Source organism: Homo sapiens, chromosome 17 (assembly GCF_000001405.40).
Source record: "Homo sapiens chromosome 17, GRCh38.p14 Primary Assembly".
NCBI classification, from domain to species: domain Eukaryota; kingdom Metazoa; phylum Chordata; class Mammalia; order Primates; family Hominidae; genus Homo; species Homo sapiens.
The window spans coordinates 33949710-33977246 of NC_000017.11; the positions used below are offsets into that span (position 1 = coordinate 33949710).

The following is a 27537-nucleotide window of genomic DNA, read 5'->3' on the forward strand; positions in this document are numbered from 1 at the left end:
AGTTTCCTCATCTATAAATGTGGGATCGTGTTTGGTACCAATCTTATCAAACGGTTGTACAAAATGGAAGAGATAGTCATAGAAAGCACTTAGCACACTGCCTGGCACCTAGCAAAGGCTTAGTGAGGATTAATTATTATTTTATTATTCTCCAAGACAGAAGTTACTGTCTACAATTCCCAATGAGAAATGAAAACTCAGAGAGCCTAGAGATGTACCTCCAAATCAGAGTGTCCACTTTCGAATCCTGGTGTGGCCAACCCCAGATCCTGATCCTTGGTAGGTGGCTGAATCAAGACTCAAGCCAAGTCTGACTGTGCCTCCTGCAAGACCTGGGTCTTGGAGAACAGTCCTGAGGCTGCCAGAGGCAGAGGGCTCTAAGAGGTTGAACCATAGTCAGAAGCAGCTACCTCAGAGGGTGTGTTAAGAAATCCTTCAGGGTCATTGTCTCTAATCAGGCGCTTTTGCTGCGTGGCCTTCCTGGGAACTTCAATTTCCCTCTCAGCCCAAGCACCTCTAGAGTTGATTACCAGGGAGGGCCTGCCCACTCTCAGTGCAGACCCAGAGGCTGCCGGGTAATTGGGCCTACTCCTCCAGCTGGAGCTGACCTACAGGAGGACCAGGCCTCTTCCTCCACACACAAAAAGAAGTAAAACCAAAATGAAATCAGATTCCGTAATAAATGCAGACCACGTTCCCTCAGCCAATATCGAGACAAAGTCTATTCTGCTGCCTGTCACTGGAAAAGTAATAAAGCAATAGAGAAGTGAGTTATAAAAAACCCAAACGACGGATCCCCCTTCTGAATACTGAAGGGAAGGTGGGGTTGGGAGATGGGGCAGCAATGAGTGGGGACCTGGAGTCCCAGCTTGCTGAAGCAAGCCAGGTCCACAGACATCACCTCCACCAGAACTCCCCATGCCCACTGCCTTGGCCATGTGGAGGCTGAAGTTCAGAGAGGGGAAGGGACCAATGACAGCCACCTGAAAGGTCAGAAGAAAAGTCCTGATGAGACCCTGGGTCCCCTCATCTGGGTCCAGTGCTTTCTGGGGAATCTGCAAGGGCTGGGGTGCTGGGTGGTCCTGAAGGCAGCTCCAGCCTTTTAAGCACCATCCCTGTTGCCTTTTGCACTTTCTTTTTGGGAAAAAGCAAGTGCTGGCCTGCTGGCACCAGCTCAGTGGTGGCTTAGCACTTACATCTCTTATTATATTAACTGTCAGTTAACAAATTGATCTTCAGAGGTATGATTTAGTCCCTCATTTGTCCAGGCCTGATCTATTCATTGGGAGGTAACAAGTTTAGAGCCAGAAAAACCTGATTGTGAATCCTGGCTCTGTTGCTTATTAGTCAATTAATCTCTTTATCTCTCAGGCCATCCATTTTCTCCATTGTAAACAAGAATAGTAATAACATATATTTGGCAAGATTATTATGATTAGTAATAATAATAACAACAGGTATCATTTCTTGAGTGCTCACTATAAATTAGGTAACATAGTAAATGATTTACAAATACTAACTCCTTCCACCTTCACAGTGGCCCTCGGTGGTAGGCCCTGTTATGATTTCCATTGTACAGATGAAGAAAATGAGGCTCTGTGAGGATAAATATCTTGCTTAAGATCATAAAGCACATAAAAGGTAGAACTGAGATTTCAATCCAGGACTCTCCGACTCCAAAGTCTATGGTGACCTGGAAGCTGTGCCTTCCTGTGCTGTATTACCATGGTCCCCGTTCCTTTATGCTCTGTGGCCAATTTCCATTTTCAGCTTAAGAAAGAAAGCAGGGCCACTGAGATGATGGAGCAGCAGACACTGTGGGTGCCTATACGCTATACCTATTCTTCCCTCTTTTTTCTTTTCTTTTTTCTTTTCTTTTTTTCTTTTTTTTTCGATGGAGTCTCACTCTGTCACCCAGGCTGGAGTACAGTGGCGCCATCTCGGCTCACTGCAACCTCCACCTTCTGGGTTCAAGGGATTCTCCTGCCTCAGCCTCCAGAGTAGCTGGGACTACAGGCGTGTGCCACCACGCCTGGCTAATTTTTGTATTTTTTTTTTTTTTTTAGTGGAGACAGGGTTTCATCATGTTGGCCAGGCTGGTCTTGAACTCCTGACCTTAAGTTATCCACCCGTCTTGGCCTCCTAAAGTGTTGGGATTACAGGTGTGAGCCACCCTGCCTGGTCTCTTCCTCCTTTCTTACTGAAAGAACCCTTTTCTTTTCAATATCACCCTTGATACATTTCAGAGGAGGGGAGCACTGGTTACACACGTGTGATCAATTTGTGGAATTCTATTAAATTGCATACATATAGTAAATGCATTTTGTGCAAGTATATCATATTTCAATGTTAAAAGTTTTGAAAAAGAGAAATAGACCCCATGATATCTTCAAATTGCTTTCAACTGGGAGAGAGAAAGAGAATGAGAGAGAATGAGAGAGAGGAGAGGAAGCAAACATGGCAAATGTTGAACAATGAGTGAAGAGAAGTGAATACTGGTGCTCATTCTAATATGCTTCCAAATTTTGTGTAGCTTAGAAATTTATCAAATCAAAAAGGTGGGGAAGAGATAGAAGGAAGAGTTAGATCCTTCCCTCCATCTGGATAATGGAGTGAGGATATGATGTCTGGAACCTCAGTAGGCCCATCTCTTATATGCGGTGCTATGTGATCCTAGGCAAGGTACTTCGCTGAGCTTGTTTCCTCATTCTTATCATGAGAATAAAAATAGGACCCCACTTCTTAGGGCTGCTGTGAAGAGGAAAGAAGCTAATATATGTAAATTATTTATTATGATGTCTATTCACATCATGCATTAAAGAAAACAGGAGCAAAATGATGGAAGATGCCTGGGTCCTTGATGATATCATCAAGTCACTGAACTCGTCCAAATACAGCCTCATTTGCACTTTTAGTCATGTGAGATAACATACTTACTCTGAGTCATTACAATTTGGGCTTTTAAAAAATTGCTGATCAAATTGCACTCCCTAGCCTAAGGAAAACATTTAAAATTCAGATGAAGATGTATTGATAATGGGAAAAAAGTAAAAAACATCCTAATTATGTAGAAATAAAGGTAGGATTAAACAAACTATGTAGGGTAAAATATTATGTAACCATCAAAAAGTGATGTCAGAAAATTGTTTCATAGCATAGGAAAATGCTTTCACTCTAATGGTGATTCCTGAAATATGCAAAAATGTAATTATAAAAGGTTGGAAGAAAATAACCCCAAATATGTATAGTAGGCTAGATTTGAGTATTTTAATTAAATGCCTTAATATTTTTTGTATTTAAAATGACTATCATATATTATTTTATAATGGGTTAAACAGTAGGTTTCTAACCTTTATTTATGACATACACAAATATTAGAAACAAAACTATATATTTGTATGAGATCATCTACATACAATGCATTTAAAATTGAAAAAAATAATGTGTTAAGAGTAATTACCACTGAGATGTGAGATTTTGAATGACATTTCTCCTACCTTTTTATATACACGTGCACACATATTACACATTTTCTACAATGAGCACATGCTGCTTTAAAATCTGAAACAAATCCAATTCTTAAAAATACCAATTTATAACTTTTACATCCAATATCATTGCTTCAAACCCTATGTCTGGTACTTAAATCAATCCAATAGATTTTCATTGAGTGTGTAATATGTACCTAATACTGTGTGATAATAATCAGTACCCTTTATTAGACACTGTGATCGTAATTTTGTATATATTATCTGTAATATTTTCAGTAAAGTATTGAATATACATATCACAATAGACCAGATTCAAATCCTGGTCTATTGTATCTACTTGGTTGCTTGCTCTCCTCCAGCTGTAGTTAAAAAAAAAATCATATAAATCAATGCAGTGTATAAACCCTGTCAAAAAATAAAAAATCTCAAAGAAGGATGAAGTGCTTTCAGCCTGGTAAGATCCAGGGAAATTTCAACAACAAGGTGGCAATGTGCAGAACCTTCAAGCAGGGTTGAACAAGGAAGAGGCCAGCTTCCTGAATGAGGGGAGTGTTGTGGGTGGTGGCTTGGACGGGAGAATGTGTCATTCAATGCTGGGGATTGCAAACTAGACCATGTTGGTTGGGGTAAATAAGTATATTAAGAGGAAGGATCAAGAATAGAAACTATAGATTAAGATGATAGAGAGCTCTGAATGTGAGGCTTTGGAATTTAAATTTCATTTGCTGGGCAATGGGGTTCCATGGTACATTCTTTGGGCCACAGAGGGTGGGGATGGGTTTTGGAGCACATTGCTTTGATGAGTATTTAGGCAGGACCACAGGAGTGAATTAGAGAAAGGAACCTGGGCTAAGCCTGCCAACATCCATTTCTTCTTTTGGGGAAACAAAGGGACAGAAGTTTTAAAAACTGTCCAGAGTTAACAACCAAGAATGAGACAGGTTGGAACCCCAGGCTATCTGACACTGTTGCCTACCCAGCATCTGTGGAGGTGGGATGCAGCAGCGGTCAATGCAAGGCCAGGCAAAACCGTGCCCCAGCCCTGAGATGGGGAGGAGTGTGTTGTGTGCAGCAGAATGTGGAAAGTTCTCAGGAGTGTGGTATCTGTGACCCAATCACCCATCAGCATGTGTGGGAGCAGTCAAACTGGGCCACACATGATCCTGTAGATTTAGGACCCTCCCTGTTTTTGCTCACTGCTCCATGGCAGCCAATATGCCTAAAGCTGGGAGCAAGCTCCCAATCCCACCTGGGGCATCCCGGGAGGCTTATTACATTGAAGCAGCAAGCAGAGCTCCAAGGAGCAAAACGTCTCTGTTAAAGCAAAACATCATTAAGATGAGAAGAGGCAGTGTCTTCAACACCCACACAGTGCCACTGGGGCTGTAAAATGTGCCTCAAAATTAGACATGGGAAAGAGCTTCACCAGTGCTGACTGTTCATCCCCAAGGACAAGGGTAGCCTGATTCCCTCTGACTTCACCCCCAGCTCTGCCACGAAGCTGTGAGTGTTTTGTCTGAGTCTATTTGAGATGTCTTATGCAACAGAACCTCATTTCTGAGAGGAAATGGTTTGCTTTCTTTCACACAACATTCACATTGTCAGGAAAGTTTCCCTGACATGCAGCCCGGTTTGCGCCTTTCTTGCTTATAAGAAGAACCTTGAAGTCTCCAAGGGGATATGTTCCTTAAGAAGATGTTCAAAACCCTAAATAGACTGAAATGTTCTTCTGTGGGGAAGAGTATTACACTGAGTACTAATTCATTGTGCTGCATTTGAGAGGCAGGATACAAGGTGTAAAGTTCTTATACTTGCTTTATTACACTGATTTCTTGCTTGCATCAAAGGTAGGTAGGTAGGATGTAGGTCAGGGGTTATTTTTGCCATTTTACAGATAAGGAAATGAAAGCTTAGAGATATTGATGACTTGACCAATAAGTCACACTGAAATTAAGCAGTAGAAATGGGTCCATTTACTCCAAATCCAAGGTCTTTCTAATACCACACTCTAGCCATCACTGTTCTGGGCACCATGGAAGTATGGCCAATGAAGGGTCACCTGTCCCATATGTGTTCATCATTAAGTTACTGTCTTTCCATTTTAAATCCACCCTTCTCTGTGCAGCTTTGTCTTACTGGTGCTGCCAATCCTATTTTCTTGCCATCTGGGTTAACATTAGGTTGTGCTAATAGGGGGCACTAGAGGAAGGTTGCAAGGATGGAGAAAAAAAGGACTTCCAGCTTGCTTCCTGGTGGCTTCCTGCCTGCTTCTGTTCCTGGAAGCTTCACCCCAGTGGTGCTGCTTCATCTTGGCAGGGGTAGTTCCTTCCTAAAGCAGCAGCTGAACTCAGTATGTTTTTTTCAACACTTGCAGAACCAGTGGTATGCATTCCACCACCCACCACCAAAATACCAGCACCAGCTGGCAGGCACCTTCTTCTCAGTGGTCTGAAGCCAGCCCCACGGGACCCCTCCTATGTTGAGCTCAGAGACACCAGCACTAGCCAATCAGCATCTCCCTCTCAGAGGTCTGAGCTCCAGCCCAACAGGGCCCCTCCTCCAACGTCCTGCATTTTAATAATCCCAACTGCTTATGTTTTTTCCTCCAGCCCAAGGGACAGTGGATGCTTTCTGTAGTAGCTACTACTTCTGTAAAACCTTAGTGTCCTCTTTTACTTTTTCAGATACCTGGTTAATGAATTTACACCTAGTTAAAATTTTTGTATTATGTTCTCTCCATTCAAATGCCTGGGATAGTTCCTATCTCTTGAGTGGCCATTGACTGATAGACAAGCTGAGGGCCCATCATTAGACTATTATAATTAATATAATATAATGAGTGATGGACTCATGAAACAAGGTAGAGACAAGTCAGAGGTAGAGTGCCTGACACATAGTAGGGCTCAAGAAATAGCTAATGAATTGAAAAAAATGAATCACTGAATAAAGGAAAGTCTTAGTGTTGAAGGAATGCTTGGGCAGTGATCCAAGCAGGAGAGTCAATAGGAGCGGGAGCGCTGGGAAAGCGCTCTTGAAGAAGAGTTTCCACCATTCAGAGAATGAGGGTTCAAAGTCTGAAGTGGGTTGTATCTCAAGAATTGACCTGAGAGAGGCTGTAGCAAGGCGAGGCTAGGGTTGTGGCACAAGTCTAAGTTCTTTCATATTTGTGAGGGAGTGAAAAACTCAACCAAAGGGAGTCGGGTAGCCCTGGCTGCCCCTTCAGTCAGGAAGGTGTCACGGAAGCTCTGAACCCAATGTCTCTCTCCACATCTACTTTCCAACCTCCATCTCTGCTTTCCAAGCTGCACCCCTGAGAAGGAGTAAGAACCAGCTGGGGAAAAGCCAACTCAGGAGCCTACCTACCTCTTACTAATCCTTCAATATCAGCTTAAAACTCACGTCACCAGGGAGACATTTCTCAGCCCCAGAGGAGGCTGGTCCCCCACTGTCAGAACCCCATAGCAGTTTCTCCTCCTAACAGTCAGCACACTTGCAGCCATGTGTTCAATGCCTGCCCCTACCCCAGAATGCAAGCCCATGAACAAGTCCAGTTCTGTGGGTCTGCCAAATACCGTCTGAGATTCTCAAGTACTGACATCATGGCAGATCTTGACCTGGTCCCCAGCTAGATGAGCCTGCTCCTTTTGGTTCTGATGGCATATGCCTCACTCATCCTACAGCTCCTGAGAGCTGGGACAGTTGCCTACCTCTGCAAGTAGCGAGGCTTCTGTAGAGAGGCAGGGGATAGCTGCTCTGTGGCCACCTGGCCATGGGCCTGGCAGCTGCTGCCCTGACTGCTCACCTGGCTCTGACAATCAGAATAATGGGGATTTATTGTCCCTTCTCTCTGCTAATCCTAGAGATGAGGGATGAGCATCTGGAAAAGCTCGTTTGGGGTTGGTAATGACCTCCAGGAGGGAATTCTCACACAACTTCTACCATGCCCCCACTCATACACCTACCTGTCCCTACATATCCAAAGCTCTGAATTCGACTCTGACCCAGATGCTACAACTATCTTCTTTAATCCAGGTGCATTTCTGTCCAGGCAACCTCAAGCACAAAGGCGTAGAAGAGAAGAGAAGCAACATGCCCTTGGAGTCCACAGAATATGGAAACTAGCCTGACTGGAGTTGAAGGTCTCTTGAGGATTTATGTAGTAGGTACTTGCTGTATTAGTCTGTTCTCACACTGTTATAAGGACATATCTGAAACTGGGTAATTTATAAAGATAAGAGGTTTAATGCACTCACAGTTCCACATGGCTGGGGAGGCCTCACAATCATGATAGAAGGCAAAGGAGTAACAAAGGCATATCATACATGGCAGCAGGCAAGAGAGTGTGTGCAGGGGAACTGCCCCTTATAAAACCATCAGATCTAATGAGACTTATTCTCTATCATGAGAATAGCATGGGAAAATCCACCACCATGATTCAATTACCTCCCACCAGTTCTCTCCCATGACACGTGGGGATTATGGGAGCTACAATTCAAGATGAGATTTGGGTGGGGACACACCCAAACATATTATTCCACTCCTGGCCCCTCCCAAATCTCACGTCCTCACATTTCAAAACCAATCATGCCTTCCCAACAGTCCCCCAAAGTCTTAACTTATTTCAGCATTAACTCAGAAGTCCACAGTCCAAAGTCTCATCTAAGACAAGGCAAGTCCCTTCTGCCTATGAGCCTATAAAATCAAAAGCAAGTTAGTTACTTCCTAGATACAATAGGGGTAAAGGCATTGGGTAAATACACTCATTCCGAAAGGGAGAAATTGGCCTAAACAAAAGGGGCTACAGGCCCCATGCAAGTCCAAAATCTAATAGGGTAGTCATTAAACCTTAAAGTTCCAAAATGATCTACTTTGACTCCATGTCTCACATCCAGGTTATGCTGTTGCAAGAAGTGAGCTCCCACAGCCTTGGGCAGCTCCATCACTGTGGCTTTGCAGGTACAGCTATCCTCCTGGCTGCTTTAATGGCTGGCATTGAGTGTCTGTGGCTTTTCCAGGTGCACGATGCAAGCTGTAAGTGGATCGACCATTCTGGAGGGGTCTGGGGTCTGGAGGATCGTGGTCCTCTTCTCACAGCTCCACTAGGCAGTGCCCCATTGGAAACTTTGTGTGGGGGGTCTAACCTCACACTTCCCTTCTGCACTGCCTGAGCAGAGGTTCTCCATGAGGGCTCTGTCCCTGCAGCACACCTCTGCCTGGACATCTAGGCATTTCCATACATCTAGGAGGAGGTTCCCAAATCTCAATTCTTGTCTTCTGTGCACCCACAGGACCAACACCACATGGAAGCTGTCAAGGCTTGGGGCTTGTACCCTCTGAAGCAATGGCCTGAGCTGTACCTTGGCTCCTTTTAACCATGGCTGGAGCTGAAGCAGCTGGTATGCAGGGCACCATGTCCAGAGGCTGCACACTGAAGGGGGGGTCTTGGACCCAGCCCATGAAAGCATTTTTCCTCCTAGACCTCCCAGCCTGTGATGGGAGTGGCTGCCACAAACGTCTCTGATACACCCTGGAGACATTTTCCCTGTTGTCTTGGTGATTAACATTTGGCTCCTCATTACTTATGCAAATTTCTGCAGCTGGCTTGAATTTCTCCCCAGAAGATGGGTTTTTCTTTTCTACTGCATGGTCAGGCTGCAAATTTTCCAAACTTTTATACTCTGTCACCTCTCCAGTGCTTTGCTGCTTAGAAATTTCTTCCACCAGGTACCCTAAATCATCTCTCTCAAGTTTAAAATTCCACAGATCTCTAGGGCAGGGACAAAATGCCACCAGTCTCTTTGCAAAAAGCATAACAAGAGTGACCTTGGCTCCAGTTCCTAAGTTCCTCATCTCCATCTGAGACCACCTCAGCCTGGACTTTATTGTCCATAACGCTATCAGTATTTTGGTCAAAGCCATTCAACAAGACTCTAGGAAGTTCCAAACTTTCCCACATTTTCATGTCTTCTGAGCCCTCCAAGTCTCTAGGAAGCTCCAAACTTTCCCACATTTTCCTATCTTCTTCAGAGCCCTCCAAACTGTTTCAACCTCTGCCTGTTACTCAGTTCCAAAGTTGCCTCCACATCTGTGGGTATCTTTACAGTAGCACCCTACTCCTGGTACCAATTTACAGTATTAATCAGGGTTCTCTAGAGGAACAGAACTAATAGGATAGATGTATATATGAAGGAGAGTTTATTAAGGAGCATTGACTCAGACAATCACAAGGTGAAGTCCCACAATAGGCTATCTGCAAGCTGAGGATCAAGGAAGCCAGTCTGAGTTCCAAAATCTCAAAAGTAGGGAAGCTAACAGTACAGCCTTCAGTCTGTTGCCAAAGGCCTGAGAGCCCCTGGCTGACCACTGGTGTAAGTCCAAGAGTCCAAAAGCTGAAGAACTTTGAGTCTGATGTTCAAGGGCAGGAAGCATCCAGCATGGGAGAAAGATAAAGGCTGGAAGACTCAGCAAGGCAAGTCCTTCCAGCTTCTTCCTGCCTTATTCTAGCCATGCTGGCAGCTGACTAGATGGCGCCCACTCAGATTGAAGGTTGGTCTGCCTCTCCCAGTCCACTGACTCAAATGTTAATCTCCTTTGGCAACACCTTGACACACATACCCAGGAACAATACTTTGCATCCTTCAATCCGATCAAGTTGACACTCAATATTAACCATCATGCCTGCTGTTCTTGCATATGGTGTTCCAGCACTCATTCCTCAATTTTCTAGTGATAGAGCCCAATGTCTCCTTTTTGTGGCCCACTGCTCTTCTACTCTTAGTCCATGGACTTTGTCTATGCTAATCACACTGCCTAGGTCCAGTGATGAGTGTGTGATCCAGCCTGACCCATCAGCATAGTTCAACCTAGCTCCAGTTGTTGGTTTAGGAATGAGCATCTGACACCAGTGGGATAAATTCAATCAATGACAAGGCTCTTAATGTAATTATTAGGGAAGTGTCACTGTCTTTCTCGTGTGGAAACTGCTGCAGTGAAGTGCTAGCCCGCAGCTGCCAGCAGCAACCTCTGTCTTCTCATGAGCAGAGCCTGAGAATGAAGCCAACACAGAGGATACCAGACCCAAGAGATGGAGAGGGACATTTGAGCCCCTAAATCTAGATCTGCCTGGATGCTTCAATCTTTGCACCAATACATTTCCTTTCTCTCAAACCACTTTGAGTTGTGTTTTCATTGCCAGAGATGGAAAGAATCCTGACTAATGTACATACAGAGGTGAATGAGTTCCATGCCTAAATGCTTGACTGGAGATTGATCCTGGACCATTACACTCATGGAGAACTGTGAGCTCTGTTAAAACTCTTCAAAAGTTTCCTGTTGCTGTCAGGATATAACCTCAACTCCTTAACCATGGTTTTAGAGCCTTCAATGATCAGGACCTTGCTGATCTCTGGCCTCATCCTGAAGCACTTTTCCTCCCAATTTATATTCTGGCCACACTGGATTTTCAGTTTCTAGAATGTACCATTGTCTCCTGCTTCTGGAATTTGTCCTCTTCCTTGAGCATGCTTCACCTACCTAAGTCCTACGATTCCTTCAATATCAGCTTAAAACTCACCCCATCACTGCCAGGGCTCCACAGCAGTTCCACCTTCTAACACTCAGCACACTTGCAGCCAGGCGTTCAATGCCTGCCCCTATCCCAGAATATAAGGCCCCGCGAGAGTCAGATCCGTGCTGCTCTAATCTCCACGCTATCACTAGGACATGAATAGAGACCCAACAAATAAATATTTGTTGAATACCTGAATGAGATAAATAATGCAGGCAACCCTAAGTACGTGGAAGTGGAGGAGATCTAAATTAGGGCTGAGATCTGTGGGTCAGCCAGCTAGGCATGAGATGATCAACGCCCAGGCCAAGGTGGTAACTTTAGTAAGAGAAAGGCACAGGGAAGGGAAAGGAAGGAAAATCTATGTGGAAACTGAGAACAGAAGAACCAAAATAATTTGACCGGCTTTGACCAAAGCTAGAAAAAGAATCTTTAAAGAGACACCCAAGCCCATGAACCAAGTGCATAAGAGGAATGTGCAGCTATTGGCAGGGGCAGGGTCACTGCTTCAGGACACAGTTATGCTGCTTATGTAGGACAAAGCCTCAGCATTTTGCAGGACCCAGCAGGGATAACAGGGGCAGAAGATAGGCCCTTAACAGGTGGATCCTGAACAGGTCCATCACAGTTGGTGGTTGGAGGCTAGAATAGAGCAGAGAGCTTAGCCCGAGCTTATGTCCCTGGGAATTGAGAGAGTATCATGGGAAATTCTGCCCTCCAACTCCACCTGGCTGAAGCTGAGCTGCATAGTAATGGGTGCTCCTCAAACAAGGTGCCTGCATCGTCCTCACAGGGGCAGCCAAAGAGGTGTTTACTGTTTGGATTTTCTCTCCAGAGCAGACTTGCTGTTCTGGGAAGATCACGGAGTGATTTGCATAATTGCCTTCTCAGGTGATGATTGCTCAGACCAAGGAAGAATTTCAAAAAGCCCACCTGCTTGCCTTGCTGGGTAGCATAAGGGACATATTTGGGAGGGAAAAAAAAGTCAACCAAAGGGAGTCAGGTAGCCCTGGCTGCCCCTTCAGGCAGGAAGGTGTCAAGGAAGCTCAGAACCCAACATTGCTCTCCACAGTTGCTTTCCAACCTCCATCTCCACTTTCCAAACTGTAGCCCTGGGAAGAAGTAAGAACAAGCTGGGGAGAAGCCAACTCAGGAAGCTACCTAACACCTACAAATCCTTCAATATCAGCGTAAAACTCACATCACCAAGGAGGAATTCCTCGGTTCCAGATGAGGCCGGCCTTTCATTCTGAGGACCTCACGGCAGTTCCTTCTTCTAACACTCCGCACACTTGCCGCCATGTGTTCAATGCCTTCTCCCACCCCAGAATGCAAGCCCATGAACAAGTCCAGTTCTGTGGGCCTGCCAAACACCAACTGAGATTCTACCATTTGCTAGTGAAAGAGACCAAGGGCCCCACAGTCAAATGAGGATGGAGGCACAGAAATAAAACATGGGAAAATAAGTAGTAGTAAACATAGGGTTCTTTGGAACATGGAGGAGGAGCTTTGAGGCCAGCTGAGGCAGGGGTGTGTATCAACAAAGCCCTCCTGGGGGAGGTGACATCGGAATAGAGTCTTGAAAGAGTATAGTGCCTGGTACATAGTAGATGCTCTAATACCCAAGGATGAATGACCCAATGGCAGGATGGATGGGGAGGCAGATGTTCCAGGAAAAGAAAAAGCTGGCTCAGTCCGTTCTTCATCCCAGAGCCACAGTGAATTCTGAAGCTATTCTAATGCCTTGTAAACTGCACAACATTTTCCATGGTGTGTAGAATGTGGGATGTCTCTTCTGTTATCATTTCGGGTCAGGAATGAAGTGCTCATGTTCGCTTGTACTGGGGGCTACTGAGTCAGAATAACCAAGGCTCAGCTGACTCCACCTCAAATCAACAGGATGCTCTTTAAGTATGTGAGAGATTCACCGGGCCACTGCCTGCACTGTCTAGTTTTCTTCGAAGTGCCTATGAAAAATGTGCTTAATATTCATGCTCCATTCCAAAGAGGCACAGATGGGGGCCAAAGAGGAAAAAACCATTTTTAGTAAAAAATGACTAGTGTCATGTCTCCCAGCCCAAACTAATATATTTCTTGAGGCTGACCTTAAGCTACCTCCTACAGGAAGCCTTCCTCAACAACTACAGATTCTGCATCCCCCTTCCTTCCTAAGTTCTTTTCACTTCACTCCTTGCCACATCTCTACTTGGGGTGTCAGCTATTTTGTTGTTCACTGAATGTGTGCACATCTTGTGGTCTCTCCACCTCCCAGGTTCCCGGAAACATATGTAAGAGGAGCTCAGTTTTAAGGATAAGAACATTGAGATCTAGAGAGGTGTACAGCACCCACTTGCCCCAGGGTTGCACAGCTCATAACTGCAGGAGTCAGGCTTCCAACCTGGACTGGTGCCCAGACTCTGCTCCCAACTACACTTCTACCAACCCTCTTCCCATCTCGCAGCCTCCCCATCTCATTTCTAGTCCACTGCTCTCTACGTTGCATCGCTGTTTTCTGGGTGCATCAGGTCCCATTGTCTTGCCTCCTGAAGAATAGGGTGAGTGGCTTAGGAGCACAGAACCAAGTATTCACATTTTCGTTTCTGCCCCATGCTATTTCCCCATTTCTGGACGCAGAGTAGGTGCTGATAATATGAAGCACAGAGAGAAAAATGTCAGCACAAAAAGGAAGCATCTGTTCTTGAGCTTTCATTACTCAGATGAGAAAACTGAAGCTCAGAGAGGGGAAGTAACTTAAATATGCATTGGACAGAACCGAGAAGAAAGCAGGCTGGCTCCTGCCACTGTACTTCACACATAACAGGTGCTTAAATTATGTTATTGTTATATTATATATTATGTATATTCCATATAATATATAATAATATGCATAATATATATCACCATCATTGTCATAATTTTATTGTTGTCTGAATGAGACCTTTAAACTCAGTATGTCTTGTCAGTGGGGAGTTCGGAGAGTTTTCACAAACATGAGTCTTTAGTTCATGGAGCAAATCAGAAGGACTGAGGTGACTGACTTTCAGGAAAACAAAGGCCAACAGAAAGATGAGAAGACATTCTTACATTTGTAAAGTATTTTACAGCTGACAACTTTCTTAAAAGAAAGATTGCTAAATTTGGCATTAGGAAATCTGGGACTGAGACCCTTTCTGCCACTGGATGACCTTGACAAAGTCATTTGTTTTCTTTGAGCTTCAGTCTCCTTTGTAAGATAGAACTGTGGGATGCACTCAGAAAAGAAAATTATGGAGCATACAGGGCCCAACTCCCCATTGCTGTGCTCATGGCAGCCATCACTAATTGGTTACCACACTCTTTGTGCTATGCCCAGGTGAGGCTTCAGAATCTGTCCCTGGAAACCACTACCCATTGGCTGGCATGAACGTGTTAGATGAAACCAATTTGTCAGTTTCAGTAGATGCCTGTACAGCCAACTCCAGCTTCGACTTTCTGACTCCACGAGTCTATCACACATACAGCAACCTGACCAGGTTAGCAGAGCAGGGCTCACCCCTCTCCCCCAGAGGAACAATCTGAGCTCAGACCAGCTCAAGTTTAGATAGTTGGTGAATGGTGATGGAATCAGACACTAGACCTCTCTAAATTGGCCTGGCAAGAACACTCAGTAGTCTTACATATTCCCTGGCTACAAAGGACTCCCAGTCCCTCAGAGTCAAGGACCATGGTAAAATGAGGAAATAACCAAAAGCTTCATTCTCCCTTTCACACCACAAGGTGGCTGAGTGAGAACCTCCCTTCTGGACAGGTGATACCACGCTGCAAAACCAGGAAGTAGGTGAACTTGCTGATTTCTTTCACTTTCATCCTTGTGTCATTAGAAGCCCAGTTCCTCTTGACAGTATCTCCCAACCACCACCCCCTCTGCTGCTACACCCCATCTGGCCACATATCCCTCAGATTGTTGCCAGAACTTTCTTATTTCATTTGAAAGGGAAGTTTGTTGATAATAGCTTAGAGTGAGACCTCACTCCATTGAAGGCAGCCGCCTGCGGTGGTGGGAAGAGAACTGAGGCTGGAGTCAGAACATAGGCTTCTTGTCCTGCTGCTGTGGCCTTGGGGAAAGTTGCTGTTCTTCTCTTGACCTCAGTTTCGCTTCCAGCCTATGATTTCCAAGAGAGAAATGTTGAATTCTTGGCTAACAGGACAAAGTGCTCACGGACCTCATCCCTACACTGGTGGCTGGGTGAGTGTTAGGGGAACAGGGAGTTCCAAGAGCCTCTGAATCCCACTTTCCATACTCCTTTTAAAATCCATTTAGTGGCCAACATTCTATGGGGCCGTGAAAAATGAGAAAGAGGAAAGGAAGGGAGACGGCTCTTATTGAATGCCTATCATATGTCAAACATGTCCATGTACTAGCTAATGGGAAAAGTGCTGATATTCCACTTTATAGATGAGCAAATCAAGGTTCAGAGGGGTTAAGCGACTTGCCTCAGATCAAACAGCTGGTAAATGGCAGAGCTAGGATTTATATTGAATACTGCTGATTCTAAAGCTCCTGCCCTTTATATTCCACTGTGGATTTTTTTTCTTTTTCTAATTACATAGTATGAAGCATGGAGAATAAACATGAAGCCACACCTTGCAGGGTTCCCAGCCTATCAAAAAGGTAAGCCAGCCTCCTGAATAATTGTAATATAAAGCCAAGCATGAAAGGATGGGTATAATCCAAGAGTCACAGATGAGAACAGACTTCATGAGGAAGTGGCATCTTTTCAGGTTGTTCCGGCCTCCCATACAACAATGACAACAATAAGCAATGAGAGTAATGATGAACACTTATCTGTACTAGCTCCCTTGCTCGTGAAATAGGTACTCTTTTTCTTTCCATTTTAAAGAGGAGGAAAGCAAGACACAGAGAGGCCAAGTAACATATCATAGATCACAAGGCTTGGAAGTGACGGAGCCTGGATCAATTCCCAGGCAGATTGGCTCCAGCATGCACACTCTTGATGAACCTCACTCTGCTGCTTCTTGTAGTATTTTCTCACCTTGACCACCACCTGGGGAAGTAGCAGGAGATCTGGGGAATCCTGTGAGAGCATTTAGGCTACCTTCCTTTCATGCCAGGGAAGGGACTAGCCCAAGGGGAGCAGTGGCTTGGAGGAATAGAGCTCAGCTCCTCTCCTCCCAGCTCAGACCACTTGCCTATGCTCTCCTCCTCCTCTGCAATGCTGGAAAGATGCCAGCCTGCCAAGGCCTTCACTATGCAGGCTCTGCATAGAGAAGAAGAACCCAAGCCCCTGTACATGGGCTATTGTTCAAGGCATTTTAGTAACATGAAGATAGCAAATTACCCACAATGAACAATTCTGTAGAACAAGGTGTTCCCTGGTCTCCATCTGAGTACCTGTGCGGATGGTATTGTTAGCAGGTATACAGGAGAGGAGCCAAGCTTTGTGAAAGGGAGCTCTTTTGGGTGATTTGTCCTGCCTGTCTTGCTTTTGCTAAATAATGAGGATAGCATGGGCTTTGGAAGGAGGCAGGCGTGAGTTGGAATTCCACCATGTCATTCTGTAGCTGTGTGACCTTGGGTAAATTACCTAACGTCTCTGAGCATCCCATCCAAAAATGGAAATATCACTATTCCATGGAGAATCCTATGAGGATTAAAAGGAGATAATGTATGTAAAGTAGCTTATATAATACCACATTCATTCTGAAAACAAACATATCCGAACCGCCATAAAAACTGGTAACATCATAGAATGTAACTCACTAAAAAGATCCAAGAATCAGGAATTAAAGCAAGAAGAGGATTACACTGTGTTGTTCACTAACCACACACCTGATAGTATGAGAAGTAGTTCTCACTTTACCCTTTCATCAACACTGTGGGTCGGATGACACTGTACCCATTTTACAGATGAAGAGATTAAGGATCATAGAGGGTCAAGATCTTCTGCAGGAATGCTGCTTCTTTGACTCCTTCTGTTCTCAGATCAGTTCAAAGCTCTCAGCTTCACTTGCTAATTTTATACAGAGTTGATTTCCGGCTCTGTTTTATCCTTAGCTTCCGCAATCTGGAAATGTGCTTTGCACTGATAATTTTATCTATTCTGGTACATCAGTCGTTTCCATACAGGTCTCCATGACCCCCCGCACCCACCCCAGTCTTCCTCCTAGCCCAAATGTGGGCCCTGCTCCCCTGTTTCTAGTGTCCTGTTTTATATCCATCCACAGTGGTCCCAGTGACACCTCACACTCTATGTCGCCAAAAGCAACTCGCTCCACCCCAACTCTCCTTTTCCTGGTTCTCTGAGTTTACGCATAGCACCTCTCTTCAGTGACCCAGGAAGGATTTCTTTGGTGTCTCTATTTATTTATTTACTTTTCCCACAATACTCATATTCAGGCAGTACCCTCTCTTCAGCACCCACCCCCCAACCACCATTCCCTATTACCCACCTAATGTTCTGATTAGAATTCTTTTTTTCTGAGAGAGAGAGAGGGTCTTGCACTGTGGTCTAGGCTGGAGTACAGTGGTACAGTCTCAGCTCACTGCAGCCTGAACCTCCCAGGCTAAAGCAATCTTTCCACCTCAGCCTCCCAAGTAGCTAGAACTATAGGCATGCACTACCATGCATGGCTAACTTTTGTATTTTTTGAAAGACGTGGTTTCTCCACATAGCCCAGACTAATCTTGAACTCCGAAACTCAAGCAATCCACCCCCCTCAGCCTCCCAAAGTGCCAGGATTACAGGTATAAGCCATCACGCCTGGCCTGATTCGAATTCTTAAACACAACTTTGAAGGTGGCTCAAAAGTCTTCAGTTACACCCCACTGTTACCTTATAAAGTCCTAACTATAGCTTGCCATTGGAGACACCATGAAATTCCATCTTAATCTATTTCTCCCTCTAATATACGCCATAGCAAAATGGGTAACACTGCTCTCGACAGTATATCTGATGCTCAATTAGTAGTAGTAATAAAGGCTGCCAGTGTCAGAAGCACTTGACATGCAGTGTCTCATTAATTCCTCACCACACCCCTGTGAGTAGACAAGATGTGACAAGATGTGTAGTTGCACAGGGCCCTGTGCTCAGAAGGCTGTGCTCCCATGCCTGGTTTAATGCTCTGCTCTCACTGTGTGGAAATTGTTAAAGCTTTTTCAACTCGGGGCCTCACATTGTCATTCTGTTCAGGGCCCTGCAAACTATGTAGCCAGTCCTGGAAGCAGCTGCTATTATTACCCCCATTTTACAGATGTGAAAACCAAGGCCACACAACTAATGAGCCCAAGACTCTTGTCAATACCCGTATTGTGCCAAGGGTGGCAGACCCACACTCTGGGCTTACTGTGTGCCATCTACTGTGCTCCCTCCCTTCCTCCACATCCCCATGTTGCCAGAGCGAGTGGCATTTCCTGTCCTTGAGGTTAAATGACTTTCTCACAAGTTTGCCTGACTTCAAGCCCAGTGCCCTTCCTGCTACACTGATCCAAATAAAACGGTGCCTGCCCCCCAACCCCCAATTCCAAAGCCAGGCCTGGTGTCTGGCGAGACCTGAACAGGGGGCAGAATCTCTGCGGAGACCTCTAAAAATAAAGCCCGCCTGCAACTGTGTTCTGAGACCTGAAGCTTCCTTCTTCCTCTTAAAAGCTGTTCCCATCTCTGAAAGCAGCTTCTCACCATGGGCTGTGGCTGCTGCTTTTCCCGCACTGCAAGGGAGAAACGGAACAGATTGCAGGAGCAATTAAACCATCACATGGAAAGCCCAGAGAGATTGGGGAGAGGGGAGGAGATGCTGTTTCTTAATGGCCTGCCTCTATATTTAGCCTGAAATACCTCAATCTCTGACCCTTCCAGGGAGCAGGTAGAGGTGAGAGTGAAGTTGGGGGCTTCAGCTCCGTTGGGCTTCTGGGTCAGGAAGCGCCCATCTGCCAGTGTGCGGCCCCATTACCGCCATGCCTTACAGGGACTCACCATATGGCAGGACAGGAAACCCCAATCATCAAACAAGCAGTGAAACCACAGCACAGCCTGTCTAGGTGGAATTTGGCAAGATGACTCAGCAAAGATGTCAAGTCAACAACAGGGAGCTGGCCTGCCCCACAGGATGCCAACTTCCCCAAGGGGACAGGGGGCTTGTGACAGGTGGTGAAGGGTGGTCAGCCTTTAGTTTCAGCCCCAGTTACAGAAGAGCCTCCATTCCTCTCCCTTGCTGCATCCTGAGTCAGACAATGTGTGTGGGGCGGATGGCAGTGAGTTTTAAAAAAACACAGAGGCCCGGGCCCAGTGCTAAAGACAGTAATTGATTCTGGAGTGGGGTTCAGACGTCTGTATTTGCATAAGACTCTCCAGGTAATTACAAGCATGGCCCGTTGAGAAACAACCAGTAGTAAGATTAGGCATAAGATGCATTTGACTTTATATTCTAGTTTTGGTCCCTCGCTTCTTGGGGGACTTTGAAGAAGTGTATGTTTATCTCAGAGCCTCAGTTTCCCCTTCTCTATATGAGTATGAAATTCTCAATTTCTGGTACATAGCCAATGCTCAGTAAATGTTGTGGGCTGACAAAATGAATGAATGAATGGAGGATGTAAGCAAATGAGTAAACACATAACCTAGCACAGACGATGTTGGTTCCTGCAGGCACAAGGATATGGCTGCTTCTCTTGGGCTGGGCTGTCTCACAAGCAGGCTCAGTCACAAGGAATGAAGTAGTCTATCTGCAAGGTGGTCCCAAGTGACATCAGCAGAGGATCTGGGGAACAAGAAAGGGGAAGGCAGGAAGCAATGCAGGGTGCATTAATGAGCCCATTACTATTGTGGACAATTGAGGCTCCGTCCCACTGGGGTCTCTGGGCGACAATGTGAACATGCTGCAGAGTTGTCTCACCCGAGGGACGGGAGCTGTACCTATTCTCCAGCTCCCATCATCAATGACAGAGGGCCATTCCTGGGGGCAGGAACTCCAGGGCACTTCTGCTCTGTCCTGCTTGTGGGCTGAGAAAAAGCCCTGGGGCAGAGAAGTGGAGAGTCCCAGGTGCTTGTTGTAGAATGTCATCGGCAGCTACTGCCATGGTGAGTGCCAAGGGGATACAGGTGAGGCACCAACAGCACCTGCCTCGCTAGGCCTCCGATATGTAACTTTCCACTCTGGGCTAGGGGTCTGGGGGAAGAGGGAAAGGAAAGGCCCACTCATGGTCCAAGCTGTCTTACACCACACAGCTGCCGGTACCATTAGGATCTAGCAATGCAAAGTCTTGTTTATCTCAACGTGCCTATTTCCTCGGCAGTTCTGAGGCTAGCAGTGTTTCTCAGTCTCTGAACTATTGACATTTTGGGCTCATTAATTCTTTGTTGTAGGGAGCTGCTCTGTGGATTGTAGGATGCTAAGCAGCGTCCCTGGCCTCTACCCACTAGATGCCAGTAGCACCTTTCATTATGACAACAAAACTTGTTTCCAGACATTATCAAATGTCCCCTGGGTGGCAAAGTTGCCCCCAGGTGAGAACCAGTGGGGTAGTTGGATACCTTTCCTCATTCTCGAAGCCCAGGCAGCACCCCACTTAAACTTCTGGAGCTGTGGATGCATCTTGACCAGGCCACGCTCTCCTTGGTCTCTGCCTAGTGGGATGCTGCACTTGGAACACATCCCAGAGACAGGCAGTGCCCACACCCAGCTGTGAAACACACTGCTCCCCTGCTGAGCCAAGCCCTGATCTATGGGCAGAGGAAGTTAAGCAGCAGCCGTGGCATCACAGTTGGACTATGGGAACCGCAAAAGACAGGGAAGTTAGGCAGCTTTGGCTCCAGCGGCCTCCACTCCAACCTGGGTCCCAGAGGCCAAGGAGGAGGATTTATCAGACCAGCCCCTAACACAGACCCAGGGAGATTTAAGGCTAACTCAACAAGGAGTTTTTGTGAAGAGTTGTAAGCACTCATTGAGGCTATGCAATTATCCTAAGAAATGCGGTGAGCACACGCAGAGCCAGCAGGGAAAGGTGTCCAGGCTGACTCCAAACTACTTGCTTTCATCATTAACCCTGGTGGCATCTGGTGAAAGGTGGGGGTGAAGTGGGGGCTGAGAAATCTTCCCCCAACAGGCAAGGGGAGATGCTCAGAACAAACCCAGGTGTCTGAGTCACTCGTGCTGACAGCAGATTCATCGCCCTTCAGTCCTGCAAAAGAGGTAGCCAGCCTGCCTTTGCTATACCTATCATCCATCAAATCTGAGAAGCCAAACTTGGGCGTAACAGGGTTGCATTTCTCCTCTGGGCTGCTTCCTCCACTCCCATTTCTTTATGCTTCCCTCCAGGATGCGTGTGCAATGCGCACACCACTCAAAGGGCACACAGTGGCACGCAGTCCTCCAGCAGAAATGATTCACAGCCAAATACAGAAGCCGGCTGAGCACAGAATCCAAAGACAGTGGGGCTCCAAGCCGGCTGTGCTAGCGGCACACCAGCTCTCCTGCCTTCGTTTCCTGGGTTGTCAGTGCAGTAGCCTACCTGGTCAAAACACGATAAAACACCAAGCAGAAGCAGAGAAACCTCTGTTCTCTGGCCTGGCCCCTGCTGCAACCTTCAGAAGGCTTGAGAGAATATTTGGCACCTGGAGAAGAGCAACGGCAAGTCTAAAGGCAACCAGGAGAACATTTCACACATATGCACACACACAAATGCATACACAAACATACGCTCACACACCAGCTCCTGAAAGTGACAGTTTGTGAATCCCTGTCCCTGCCCTCCCATTCATGCATAATGAACATTCCTCTGAAGAGAAGAGAGGTGGGGAAGAAGCAAGGGATGACTTTTGCTGGAATGAACTCTTTGGAAATGCAAGATTGTGTCAGGACATGCCCATATACATGTAAGGACACACAAACACAGAATTAGAACATTTTCTACCTACGAATCTACCTATTTCATCTGTATTTGTGAAAAAAAAATTATAACCCAAAAAGATTAAGAGGCTTTGATAAGATTATACAGAGCTGGGACTCAAACTTGGATCTTCAGACCCAGACCTTGTGATGGATTTAGAACAATCTGCATCCATGATTTAATTGGGAGAGGGACAAGGGATTGAAATTCTTGGCCTGTCTTCCTGTAAATAGAAGCTGTGATTCTGTTGACATTAGTAATAATTCTTCCCCGAGACTGAGAAAAACAACAGAAGTAATAATAATAACCACCAGGCTCAGCGTTCTTACAGTTACTAAGTGCTTTCCCATTTGTAACCTCAGGCGATTTTCCCAACAATGCGGGATGGGGGATTAATGGTATCACCACCTCCTCCTTACAGATAAAGAAACAAAGTCTTCAAAGGTTGAATAATGTTGGGAACAACTATAAACTATAGACTAATAAATGTTAAGTTAATATTATCAATGTCATCAACATTATACACCTTACTTACCAAACATGTCACATGATGTCTTAAGGATGGAGAGTCATGCCTTGTCCATGTATGAATCCCCCAAAGGTCCCAAAAGAGAACTTGATGTACAGTAGGTGACCAATATACATTTGACGATTGATTTAGTTACTGAATGCATGACAGGAAGGACGATAGAAAAATACTCACATCCAGTCTCTCTGTGGGCTCTAAACTCTAAAAGAGTAGTTTCTGTTTCTTTAAAAACAAAACAAACAAAGGTCAGTATTGCCCAGAGCTCCAGTGATCTCTAGGCTTAGATTAATGGTCCGCTAGTTCTTTGCGTAGGACTGGTCCAGCTATGTGGTTTCTGACTATACAGCATGCTTTAAGGAGCATCAAGAAGCATTCTCTGTTTGGAAAAACAAAACAAAACAAAAAAATCCAAAAATCCTTTATTGCTTGAAATTTGCACCTTCCACTCCCTCAAGCTAAGGTGTGAAAAGCTCAATTAGTTGTCTGTGATCACACATCACGCCTTACTAAGGATTAGTTTATAAGACTAGCTCCTGCCACATGGCTAATCCTCAAAAAGAGAACACAGAACAGGTCACTTTTGATGAAGAATAAGCGTGTTAACACAAGCTTTAGGTCTCATAACACACTGTGGGGACTTGGGCCCCGTCGCAGACAATGAAAGAGTCCCAGCCAGCCAGCACTGGAGAAAAGGAGACTGCAAATGCAGACAAACCTTGCCAAGCTTCCTCCCTCTCTGGGTCACAGTTTCCTTCTGTGCAAATCAGAGACTGAGACTGAAAGAGGGATGTGCTGACAGAACTAACCCAGGTCAGGTGGTCAGCACCAGAGTTATGCCTAGGGCCAGCCCTGAATGTGGCACACCCACAGTGAGGGAATCTCTACCCAAAGAGGGGATGATCTGAATCTCTGCATCATCTCTTGGGCTTGGCTGCTAGAGTTTCTGGGCTGGAAGCAGGAGCAGAAACCTTCTCCACAGAGACTGAGGTGGAACACACAGAGCTCAGCTCTGAGTTGTAGTCCAAATCCCAGAAGCTACCAAAGGGCCAAGGGTTATTCAGCTGAAGGGATCAGAAGCAGATGCTAGGAGCCAAGGATTTAGGATCTAGGGAGAGCAGCCAGCACAACCCAGTGGAGACATCAACAGAGGGGCTGTGGTTCCTAGCTTCCCATTCAGGTGCAGGCGGAGGCAAGCTGCCATTGTTGGGGGCGGGTGGAGAGGATAGAAGCTGTGCTTAAAGAGCCCTGGCAGAATGGCCAAACCATGCTTCCTCCTGTAGCAATAGGCCCAGACTTGGGCAATTGAGTGCTTTTCTCACTGCCCAGCAGGGCAGGGATGCAAATTCCAGAGTGAAGATTGGGTAGGCAGGAGCGCTCTAACTTTCAATTACAGTGTCACACCAAATGGAACTCCGCAGCTCTCTCTCTACTCTGGGGTGTATTTGACTTTGAATCAAGCGACCTCCTGAACATATAGACACAGAGAGGAGTGGCTTGTTCCTGCTCACTCACCCCACCAGGCTGCCATGGGACATAAGCCACAGCCCATCGTTTACACACAGGCTTATTAAAGCAAATAGGATTTGGCCTAGATTGCAAACAGGTTCTCCTCTGGGTAAGCGTATTTGCTGTGATCCTTGGGGTGTTTCCTGTGGAGCACAGGACACCCAAACAGGGCCTGCTTGGTTGCCCTGGGCCTCAGGGATGCCTTGCCAGTCCCACTCCCCTTACCCCAGGAGAGCTCGAAACATTTGCTTAAGACATCTCCATGCATCATCCTCCCACCTGGTCCAGGGGAAGGAAAGTTCTGATTTTCCACCTTCTACTCTGTCCTCCAAAATTTCCTGCCTTTTTCCGTCCACTAATCCCCATTCACTCAGTCTTCTTCCCGGCTTCAGTTTCTTCAGCTGGGAAATGGGACGATTCTGTGAGATGCTTTCTTAGGTTTTTTTTTTCTCCTCAAACCTCCTGTGCTCTCTGGAAGCTCTGGGAAGTGGAAAGCAGTCTGGCTTGCAAGTCAGGAGCCCTGCAGTCTATTACCAAACTTCCCCTTTCCTGAATAGGTGACCATGAGTAATTCCCTCCCAATTCCCAAGTCTCAGTGTCTTCAGCTACAACGTTAAGGAAGCAGATTTAAAGATCTCTGAGCTCACTTCTCTTTGGTGTCTTACTCCAGCAGCCATTGTGCTTATGTGTGTGTATGTATGTGTGTACAACCTCAGCTGGCTTTGCCTGCCTGGCACCCCAGCCCTATCCCTGGATTTTTCCTTGGGCAGTCACCCTCCATCTGGCGGCATGCAGTCTCAGTGGTGGTATCCATCAAGGTATGCTGCCCGGCAGGTGGACAGGAGACTTAGGCAAGTCCAGCCAGCTTCTCTTTTCCTAGACACTGACCTGAATTGAGTGCTGTTAGGTGATAGGAACCTATCTATCCATCCATCCATCCATCCATCCATCCATCCATCCATCCATAGAGCCCTGCCACAAAGACAGTGCCCATGAATTCCTCCATCCTAGATACTCAGAGGTTCCTGATTCCTCTCTTTTGTGAGGCCACACCTATTTTAGCCTTAGTTCTGATTTTGTGGATTGCCCAGTATCCATCCATTCACATCTGTGTCTAAGTCCTACAAGTCTACTCGAATGTCATCTTTTAAATGATGCCTTCCCTGGTTTCCCTATATAAACTTGCAGCCCCACCCTCATCCCTCAGCTTTTCCTGTCTTCCTCTCCTGCTTCAATTTTCTCCATAGTACTTTATCATGTTTTAACAATTGTATCATCTAATTTACTTATTTATGTGGTGTGTTGGCCATCTCTCCCCACTAGAATGTAAGTTCCCTGAGGCCAGACATTTGTGTCTGCTTTATTCATTGGTATATTGCCAGTGCTCAGGATAGTGTCTGACACGTGGCAGGCACTCACTAAATATTTGTTGAATGAATGAATGTATGAAATCATGCTTGAAAGTTGACCTCAGTTGGTTTTGGCCACTAATCCTAATTGAGACCGTCTCCTGTTCTTCCCTGTGGATCCTTTCTCCCTCCCCAGGATGGAAGCCCCTTTGCTGATATGGGATGGCAAAGCCTGAACAGAAGCAGGGATCAGAGCCCAAATAAAGGGTTGGGCCTCCTGAGGTGGAGGCCCAGTCTAGTCCTCTTCCAGGGGAAGATGGCTCAATCTTCGCCCTCTATCTTCCTCTCTCCCCCTTTCAACCCCTTGTCCTAGACCCACCTCTGCAATCTGAACCACTTTCATTTAAGGAAACCCAAAGTCATGATCTGTTTTCTAGGAAAGTCAGAGCCAAAGACATGAACAGAAAAGAAAAAAAATGCTGACAAGTCTCAGTGGGCCAGGACCTGAAAATCAATTTGACACATCAATTTTTTGGATTTAATAACTCATGCTCCCATGGAATCAAGGTCATAAATAGTAAAGAGAGTTCCAGGCAAGCCTACCAAAATCTGTTTGACTCGGCTGGAGACCTTGATCTCATCTCTCTGTTCTGGTCCCATCAATAATTTCCTCTCCTAGATGCTTCCTCTCTTTGGTTTGGCTCCCACATCATTGCCCTGTCAATGATGTTTGCCTACATTTCTGTCTCTTCCTTCTGTGCACCTCACCTCTTCTTTCCCTGTTCATTGAATGAAGTCATCCCACAAGGCTCTGTTCTTTGCTGTCTGGGCTTCTCAGCCTACATTTAATCCTCAGGAATGTAAGTCTCTCCTTTTACGGTACCATGTTGAAGATTTCCCCAAATTCTTCTCAGTACCCCCAAAATCTCTAATCACTGGATGGCCTCCTCAACTGGAAATCTGGCTTATCCTTTGCCTATCTTCAGACCTCCCCTTTTTAAACTTCTCTGCCCTCAAATTGGATGGACGCTCTTGGATCATCTGCTCGAATGTCACGTTTTCAATGAAGCCTTCCCTGGTCTCCTTATATATTAATACCCCATTTACAGATGATCTTGGATCATTTACAGATCCAAGATCATCTGTAAATGGGGTATTAATCCCTTTCTCAAATAACTGTTGAGTGAGTTTAACAATATGATTCATCTAAAGGTGCTTTGAAATGGTACGAGTGTTACTTGGTCTAATTCAGTCTCAGACTTCTGGTTGTGGAATGCCTGCCCTTTATTTCCATAGTCTCATATAGTGAGTCCAGCTGTACACTCAGGGACTTGTGTCCCCATCTCCACAATAACCTGCCCAGGCCTGACCCCACATTCCAACTCTGGATTTTCATCGTGCATGGACTCCTTGTATGAGCCCAGCCTAGTTTTCCAACTCACCTGTGCTCCACCCTCCCAATTGCTCTCTTCCAACTGGAGAGCCCACGTGGGCCCAAGGAAGGCAGGGAGGAAAGTGACATTGTTGAGCCCTGTGCCCGGTGAAGTACGCATGTGAGCTCATCCAATCTGCAGCCACTCCAGGAGGAGGGCATCATTATCCTCAATAAACAGATGAGCAAACAGAGGCTCATGGAGGGTCAGCGACGTGTCCAAGGTCACTGACTCATCAGAAGGCTACTTTGTTCTCACTCCATCAGGTGGCCCAAGGAGAAAGGTAAGACAGAAAGAGGAAGCCACTAGGACAAACTTGTTCCTGCTGTGATACCCTTAAACATCAAATCATGAGATTAGGTCGTCCTGGGGGTGGGTGTGGGCAGGGGAGGGAAAAGTGGCTATACCGAAGCAAGGATGGAGGGAGGAGGGTGCCTGTGATCAGCCATGCTAATTTTGACATTTTCCTGTGCGTCTGCTTGTCATCATCAACTTATAATTTAACCTCGTTGTGGCGATGCCTCTGGAATGTCAACAAGGCTTGCTGGAATTTCATTACAGCCAGGCAGCTGGCCCCTGGTATTTCTGATACAAATGATGTGCAGCTGCATTCTGGCCCTGCTGTCTTTATCCCCCATCTAGCAAATGGCAGCATTAGGCACACTTAATCCGGAGAGATATTCCCTACACCGAGAAGAGGGCTCGTCAATTCCACCGGGGGCATTTCCTATGGACTGCTCTGCCTGAGCCAATTAAACTAAAGTAATTGCTGAAAAGCAATGG

The 27537-nt window shown here is 45.9% G+C and overlaps 1 protein-coding gene and 1 long non-coding RNA gene across 2 annotated transcripts in view, besides 4 other annotated features; both read right to left on the minus strand.

Moving 5' to 3' along the window:
* The window catches only part of ASIC2 (acid sensing ion channel subunit 2), a 1143682-nt gene that overhangs the window by 936623 nt on the left and 179522 nt on the right, over positions 1 to 27537 (minus strand). The gene's annotated exons all lie outside the window — the stretch shown is intronic.
* The window catches only part of LOC107985038 (uncharacterized), a 51924-nt gene that overhangs the window by 14268 nt on the left and 10119 nt on the right, over positions 1 to 27537 (minus strand). The window lies entirely within an intron of this gene.
* Positions 14993 to 15192: an enhancer, noted in NCBI's record as "active region_12041". NCBI's record gives its function as "activates an Ori minimal core promoter by ATAC-STARR-seq in GM12878 lymphoblastoid cells {active_cell/tissue: GM12878}" and the evidence as "EXISTENCE:reporter gene assay evidence [ECO:0000049][PMID:35858748]".
* Positions 18365 to 18434: an enhancer, noted in NCBI's record as "active region_12042". NCBI's record gives its function as "activates an Ori minimal core promoter by ATAC-STARR-seq in GM12878 lymphoblastoid cells {active_cell/tissue: GM12878}" and the evidence as "EXISTENCE:reporter gene assay evidence [ECO:0000049][PMID:35858748]".
* Positions 18455 to 18524: an enhancer, noted in NCBI's record as "active region_12043". NCBI's record gives its function as "activates an Ori minimal core promoter by ATAC-STARR-seq in GM12878 lymphoblastoid cells {active_cell/tissue: GM12878}" and the evidence as "EXISTENCE:reporter gene assay evidence [ECO:0000049][PMID:35858748]".
* Positions 18535 to 18584: an enhancer, noted in NCBI's record as "active region_12044". NCBI's record gives its function as "activates an Ori minimal core promoter by ATAC-STARR-seq in GM12878 lymphoblastoid cells {active_cell/tissue: GM12878}" and the evidence as "EXISTENCE:reporter gene assay evidence [ECO:0000049][PMID:35858748]".